This window comes from Homo sapiens, chromosome 18 (assembly GCF_000001405.40).
Source record: "Homo sapiens chromosome 18, GRCh38.p14 Primary Assembly".
NCBI classification, from domain to species: domain Eukaryota; kingdom Metazoa; phylum Chordata; class Mammalia; order Primates; family Hominidae; genus Homo; species Homo sapiens.
In genome coordinates this window covers 2634584-2642430 of record NC_000018.10, presented here as the reverse complement: position 1 = coordinate 2642430, position 7847 = coordinate 2634584, and the positions used below count along the sequence as shown (strand labels likewise).

At 42.8% G+C, this 7847-nt stretch overlaps 3 annotated features.

Moving 5' to 3' along the window:
- Positions 490-699: an enhancer, noted in NCBI's record as "active region_13026". NCBI's record gives its function as "activates an Ori minimal core promoter by ATAC-STARR-seq in GM12878 lymphoblastoid cells {active_cell/tissue: GM12878}" and the evidence as "EXISTENCE:reporter gene assay evidence [ECO:0000049][PMID:35858748]".
- Positions 5096-5145: an enhancer, noted in NCBI's record as "active region_13025". NCBI's record gives its function as "activates an Ori minimal core promoter by ATAC-STARR-seq in GM12878 lymphoblastoid cells {active_cell/tissue: GM12878}" and the evidence as "EXISTENCE:reporter gene assay evidence [ECO:0000049][PMID:35858748]".
- Positions 5736-5915: an enhancer, noted in NCBI's record as "active region_13024". NCBI's record gives its function as "activates an Ori minimal core promoter by ATAC-STARR-seq in GM12878 lymphoblastoid cells {active_cell/tissue: GM12878}" and the evidence as "EXISTENCE:reporter gene assay evidence [ECO:0000049][PMID:35858748]".

Genomic DNA, 7847 nt, shown 5'->3' with positions numbered 1-7847 from the left:
AAAAAAAAAAAAAAAAAGGAAATCTAAGTTTATTTGGCTCCAAAGCTTGGACACTACAAATAACCTCATCCGGGGTTCATAAAATATGAACTCAGCCATTTTTACATTAATTCAGCTTTCTCTATGTCTTATATATGTATTCACAACAAATTCTCAACTTTCCTTGAAATCCTCTGAAACTATGTATAGGACTTAATGCTGAAATATTAAGATATATCATTGTTTTGAAAAAATTATCATAGTCTGATGAGGGCCATAAATCAAGTTCAAAATAAATTCTAATGTTTGTTAGTATTGTTTGAAATTTGGGCAAAATTAGTTAAGTTTTTTCTGAATTTCAGTTTTAATAGACCTTGTTTTGGTCAATTAGAAGTTGGAGGCAAAGTGCTTTATCAGTAAATATACTGAGCTCCTTCTCAGATGGTATCTATTACCAGAAACATTAAATACTGTGGTTGATTGAAACACCTATTTTCATGCTATTTTAAATAATTAAACAGCTATAGTTCCCCAAGGATGAGGGATTTCAATATTTGAAACATGCTGCTGGAAAATAACGTGATGCTTGCCAGCAAGAGATGTGACTATGAAGAAATGAAACTGATTATCAGAAAAGAAACCGAAACTGTGGTTTGTGAGCCTAGAGAAGCACTCAGAGGAGGGGTGTGTTATAATATTTTTATTTGCAGAGCATTAAAGAGGCAACATGGTGTTAGGGACAAGTAAATTGATCTGGGAGTGAGGACTTGTGCTCCCAGGTGCCAAACCTAATCCCTTTCTAGCTAGCTATGCAACAAAGGGCAATTCAATGAGCACTGAACACAAGATTAAAAAGACAGATTAAAAATAAAAAAAAAAACAGGCAAAAAACAGAAATAACTGTGACACTTTATTAGAAGTATTCATTCATTGGCCGGGCACAGTGGCTCACACCTGTAATCCCAGCACTTTGGGAGGCTGAGGTGGGTGGACCACGAGGTCAGAAGTTCAAGACCAGCCTGGCCAACGTGGTGAAACCCCATCTTTACTAAAAATACAAAAATTAGCCAGGTGTGGTGGCAGGTGCCTGTAATCCCAGCTACTCAGGAGGCTGAGGCAGAGAATTGCTTGAACCCGGGAGACAGAGGTTGCAGTGAGCCGAGATCGTGCCACTGCACTCCAGCCTGGGTAACAGAACAAGACTCTGTATTAAAAAAAAAAAAAAGTGAGCAGAGGTAGGAATCACAGATGACTCCCAAGTTTAGGGTTTAGGTCACTGGGTAGATGATGATGCTTTCATTGAGCTGGGGGAGAGAAGTGCTATTACTGCAATAGAAGGGATTCCCAAGAGCACAGTACAAAGGCTTGGAAGAGAGTGCCACAGAGATCCTCAGGAGACTTCCGCATTTAGAAGAGGAAAGAGATTCTCATAATGAAAATAATAAGTATATAAGGTAATGCATATGGTAATTAGCTTGATTTACCCACTCCAGTAGGGTATGTATATATATTTTGAAACATCCTGTTGTACACAGTAAATATATACAATTTTTATTTGTCAGTTTAAAAATATGTATTATTTTAAAAAGCCTAATTCTACTCTGAAAATTAAAAACAGAAGAAAAAGAGACCAGGAAAGAGAAACTTAACTTGCTGTCAGTATAAGGGTGTCAGACTTCTTTCTGATGAAGCCAGAAAGAGTGGCTCAGCAAATTGAAAACACAAGTATTCAAATGGAAAGAAAGACAAAATTATCAGGGCACTAAATTTATATCAGCCTGTTGAAGGTGAGGAAAAAAGCCACTTACTCATACAGGTATCATATATGCAAAAATCATTCATGTTGGCCAGGCATGGTGGCTCACAACTGTAAACCCAGCACTTTGGAAGGCTAAAATGGGTGGATCACTTGAGCCTAGGAGTTCAAGACCAGCCTGGGCAACATGGCAAAACCCCTTCTCTATAACCCAGTACAAACGTTAGCCAGGTATGGTGGCACACACCTGTAGTCTCAGCTACTGAGATGACAGGATCGCTTGAGCCCAGGAGGTCGAGGCTGCAGTGAGCCATGATTGTGCCACCGCACTCCAGCCTAAGTGACAGAGTGAGACCCTGTCTCCAAAAAATTAAAAAAAAAAAAAGAAAAAGATCATTCATATCAGCATAGCAAAAGTCAGGGACAGCATTATTTAGAGAATCCAGGCTCACTGCAAATTTTTTAGAGTTTATTATTTTGGAGACCAGAACCAGTCAGGATGACCCTATTCTTTTAAGTTTTTCTTGAGAATGTGAAGTGGTTTGATTTTGTTCCTATCTATAGTATGTGATGTGCTTAATCATACTGGAAGCAGAACAAAGCGTGAGTTTTGCTTCTATAGGAGATTAGCAATGGCATAAGGCATATGGAGGGAAGGAAAAGAGAGAGGGAAGGAGGGACTGACCATACAGAGACATAGAGTAGGGTGTGCATGGCACGCATGTGTGACAAAGAGCAAGTATAAATTATTATTGGGGCTCCTGTGTGTCTGTGTCATCACTCAGGTGTCCAGGCCTCATTAGGCCACACAGCAGACTGATCAGCAATTCCCAACCTTTCATTTGGGTTCCACATGAAATACTGATGAGGAGTCTTTGTAGAACTTGGAGAAGGTAGAACTGAAACTCAAGGGAGATCCTACTAAAATGGTTACAGGAGGTATTGTCTAGTTCAAAGAAGGTCACTTTCGTAAGGATTTAACGGTAGTCCAAGATGAAAACCTCAGGCTTCATCTGTTGTCAAATAATACATAAGGTATTTCTAGGCTTCTCCAGAGAGAAAGAGTCAAAGTCTGCAGGAAATCGCTAGCTCCTGCAATATCAATCAAATTAAAACTATACAATTGGCAATAGATGGGGAATTTACACATGTTACACATGGGCTCTGTAGAATAGCTAGACTTTGAAGCCCCGATCTTCCCTTTGGGGTCCCTTTCTATTGCTATCACTGCCAGCTCCTTTTTGGTAAATCCTATTACTTTTTTTTTTGTGGTTGGGAGAGGATCTCACTCTGTCGCCCAGGCTGGAGTATAGCGGTGCAATCACAGCTCACTGCAGCCTCCACCTCCCTGAGCTCAGGAGATTCTCTCACCTCAGCCTCCCTAGTAGCCGGAACTACAGGTGCCCACCACTATGCCTGGCTAATTTTTGTATTTTTTGTAGAGACAGGATTTTGCCATGTTGCCCAGGCTAATCTCGAACTCCTGACCTCAGGTCAGGAGGCCGATGCATTTGCCTCGGCTTCCCAAAGTGCTGGGATTACAGGACTGAGCCACCACGCCCGGCCACTATCACCTTTTATGAACATACGTCCCCACCTTAATTCCTGGCAGCATAGTAGAGACTTTGCTGGTGTTCAGACTATAGTATGTGTAAGAATAACCTGTACTGTGTGTTTAAAATACAAATTCCTAGGTTCCACACCCAGATATTAATATTTTGAATCAGTCAAATATGAGACTGAGAATGTATATTTTTAACAACTTTCATGTGGTTCTGACAGAGATAGTTCAAACACCACATTTTGAGAAACACTGAACCAAATGGGACAAAAAAGGTGATGGATATAGAAAAGAATATATTGAAGCCAATCTGAAAAGGCTACATACTGAATGATGTCAAGTATATGACATTTCTGGAAAAGGCAAAACTATGGAGACAGGAAAATGATCAGTGGTTGCCCAAGGGCTGCGAAGAGGAGGGATGGGCAGGCAAAACACAGAGGATTTTTAGGGCAGTTAAATTATTCTGTCTGATACCATAGTGGTGAATACATGTCACTTATACATTTGTCCAAACCCAAAGAATGTGCAACATGAAGAGTGAACCCTTATGTAAACTACGGACATTCCGTGGTTATGATGTATCTGCATAGATTCCCTCATTGTAACACATGCTGCTCTCTGGTGGGCAATGTTGAAAACCAGGGAGCTGGCATGTGTGGGGGCAGGAGGTACCTTTCTTTCCATTTTGCTGTGAACCTAAAACTGTTCTAAAAACATAGTCTCTCGCTCTCTGTTTTTTTTTTTTTAGACGGAGTCTCGCTCTGTCGCCCAGGCTGGAGTGCAGTGGCTCCATCTCGGCTCACTGCAAGCTCCGCCTCCCGGGTTCACGCCATTCTCCTGCCTCAGCCTCCGGAGTAGCTGGGACTACAGGCGCCCGCCACCACGCCCGGCTAATTTTTGTATTTTTAGTAGAGACGGGGTTTCACCGTGTTAGCCAGGATGGTCTTTATCTCCTGACCTCGTGATCCACCTGCCTCGGCCTCCCAAAGTGCTGGGATTACAGGTGTGAGCCACCACGCCCGGGCTAAATTTCTGTTTCTTATCTAAGTTTCACTTTCTTTAGAGAGAAATAATCTCTTCTCTAAAACTATATTACTCATCCTCCCCTTACAAGGCAATTGGCCGGTTCTAGAGTTAGAATGCAGCATCCCCACACAAGATACACAGATCCTATAGCACACAGGTCATTAGCCATCCATAACCATATCAATTATGAAAAATAAGGACACTTTTTGTCACATTCCTCAAAATGTGTATTTTTCAGTTCTAAATATCCCTATTAATAGTTAATTTAAGTCCGGGCACGATGGCTCACGCCTGTAATCTCAGCACTTCGGGAGGCTGAGGCGGGCAGATCACTTGAGGTCAGGAGTTTGAGACCAGTCTGGCCAACATGGCGAAACCCTGTCTCAACTAAAAATACAAAAATTAGGTGGGCGTGGTGGCACGCACCCGTAATGCCAGCTACTCGGGAGGCTGAGGCAGGAGAATCACTTGAACTGGGGAAGTGGAGGTTGCAGTGAGCTGAGATTGTGCCATTGCACTCCAGCCTGGGCGACAGAGGGAGACTCCTGGCAAAAAAAAAAAAAAAAAAAAAGGTTAATTCAAGCTGACACTTGCCAAGCCTGGGTCAGTTCCTCCTCACAGAATGTACTCTGGCTTGACGTGAATCTGACTTCTATAATTGCCCCCTGCTGTCCTGTGGTACATAACTCTTGATACTTCTGAGATGTGATTTAGAAAATGAATACTTCTCCAAAGGAAACAATAAATTTGCAGAGATAAAACTGCCTAAATCATGCTGAATATGTTGCACAAGGAGAACCAAGCCCTCCCCATTCCCAATCATATGTATAGGAAATGTAGACTTTTTCAAGGCAGTCAGCAGGAACAAAATATGCGCAAAGACTCTGTTTTCATGTTTTTGTACTTTAGTTTTGTATTAGATATTTCCTGCTTCTACAGCTGTTGGGTGTGTCCCTCCTCCTGTTCCGGTGATGTAAACCTAAAAAAAAAAAAAAAAAAAAAAGAAAGCTTCTCAAAAAAGAATAAAGAAGTAAACACACACACACACACACACACACACACACACACACAAACACTGAACATTTTAGATTCCCTGTTATGTCAACCCTTTTCATTTTAGAGAATGTTTTTGCCTCACATGTGCAAAACTAAATCTATCCAACCTTGTTGCTTTTTCAGAAGAAAAGGAAGTATACACTTGTGTATTGTCTCCAGCTTTGCTAGCCTAAGAGAAACTAACTGCTTGTAACTCAAAGCCAAATCCTCAAGGTGTTCTAGCTCAAAGCCAACCACAACAGGAAGGGGAAGTACACAATATCTTACACTTTATATAATTTTGCTGTTCTCTCCTCACGTCCCTACGTCTCTCACACATCTCTAAATCTTCTTACAGGGCACAGCATCCTTGGAAATGCAGGAAACAGCTTCTGGATATCTGATGCAGGGCTCCCCTTAGATTTTTCACAGCGGCCGAGCAGCCTCCTATCTCCATACAAGTCGAAGTCCCCATTTTCCTCTGCTGTGGTTGAAATTTTCACAGAGTGCTCCTCTGGAACTACAGTCCTACTGAGCCTTTTCTATGGCCTTCTATGCAGTTACTTTCCCCAAACAGGACCCTTAATTCTAATCAGAGCTTGAGAAACTCTGCCAGCAGTCAGACTGTGATAAACAATGTTTTCGACAGGACACAGAAAGGCCAACAGAACAATGTTTCTAACCAAACATAATTAATGCTGTACCGTAGTTGGAAAAAAAAAGACTAACCATTCCTTCTTAGAATCACCGAACAAAGGCCAAACCCTATAAAAAGCCCCTCCCTGGCTGGGCACGGTGGCTCACGCCTGTTATCTCAGCACTTTGGGAGGCCAAGGCGGGCAGATCACTTGAGGTCAGGAGTTTGAGACCAGCCTGACCACATGGTGAAATCCTGTCACTACGAAAAATACAAAAATTAGCTGGGCGTGGTGGCATGCACCTGTAATCCCAGCTACTCGGGAGGCTGAGGCAGGAGAATTGTTTGAACCTGGGAGGCGGAGGTTGCAGTGAACTGAGATCACGCCACTGCACTCCAGACTGGGCAACAGAGGGACTCCGTCTCGGGAAAAAAAAAAAAAAAGCCCCTCCTTGCTCCATGTTTCTGAGATATCCCATGACCAGTTCCTCCTCACTACAGCAAGTACAGTCATGCAACTATTTTCTGTAGGTAAGACCTGTGGTCTTTTCTTTGGTTGGTGAGCTTTAACTGGCTTTTATTATCTCTGGGTGGCATTTTCAATTCTCAGAGTGATTGTCCCATAGAATTGAAGTCTCCTAACCCTCCCTTCCCCTAGAAGCCGCATTCTAATCAGGGCTTGAGAAACTCTGCCAGCAGTTAGGCTGTGATAAACAATGTTTTCAACAGGACACAGAAAGGCCAACAGAACAATGTTTCTAACCAAACATAATTAATGCTAAACTATAGTATAGCATCCCCTGCCCCACCACACCACACCCTTGCTTACTATACCTACTTGATGGAACTCCCCAAGTTCCTTCTCTTTGCCCCAGGATAGAGGTTGCCTTAAGGAAAGACATCAGGATAATGCTGTTCTTGGCTCCCGGTTACCCAGTGACTCCTTCCTTTCCATGCACAGATTGAGAGCATCCACTGCCGGGCGACTTTTTTGTCTGTCCTACTCGTCACCCTCCATCAGGGGATTTTGGTGGAAGTGCCAGCCTTTCCCAGCCCTTTCCAGGCCTCTACAGCCAGTTCTGTTTCTAGCCTGACTCAGTTCCACATCTTTCCTCCCTCTCCTGAAAATGGACAATTTTGAGTAACCAACTGTTTGACTTCTCCATATCTCTCTTCCAGGATGTGAGGCATGAAGATGCGGGTGTGAGAGTAGATCTAAAATTCATTTTCAAGGATCCAAATAACTTGGCCCTTGACCCTCCTGGTGCCTAGAAAACCAACTCTCTCCAATAGACCTACTCTCATCTTCCCTACTCCAAAGCTGTCAGATACCTAGGGAATCCGTTTTACAACCATTTCATTGGTCTCCCAGCATTTTGATGGAATTTTGCATTGTTTATCTTTGTGAACAATATACTTCTCTTAAGTGCCTGGGCAACTAACTTAGTCTCTAATTTGTAGAGAGTAGAACCTCTTCCTACTTCTAAGGCTGAAAGATAAAAAGGGAGTAATTTTCCCCACCATTCCATCCCTCTGCTGGGACACTGGTCTAGTTTGTATCCTCTTCGAGTTCCCTAGGGTGGAACCATGTCTTCTAGCAAACAGACTGGCTTCTTCAGCACTGATGTTTTCCTCTTTTCTCAGGAGTGGAAAGAGCTGTCGATGGAGGGCTACCCATTACCCTCCCCTCCTCCACAAAGGAGCTGTCACCTCCCCTTAATAGGCAAACAACTCAGGGGCCATCCCCATTTGTTTCTTAAACCTGCAAGTTTCTGGTGGGTGGAGTCTCCTGCTTCAGAACAAATGATATCTTTCTCCCAAGTCAGAGGTCTCAAGGTATGTAGAGGAGA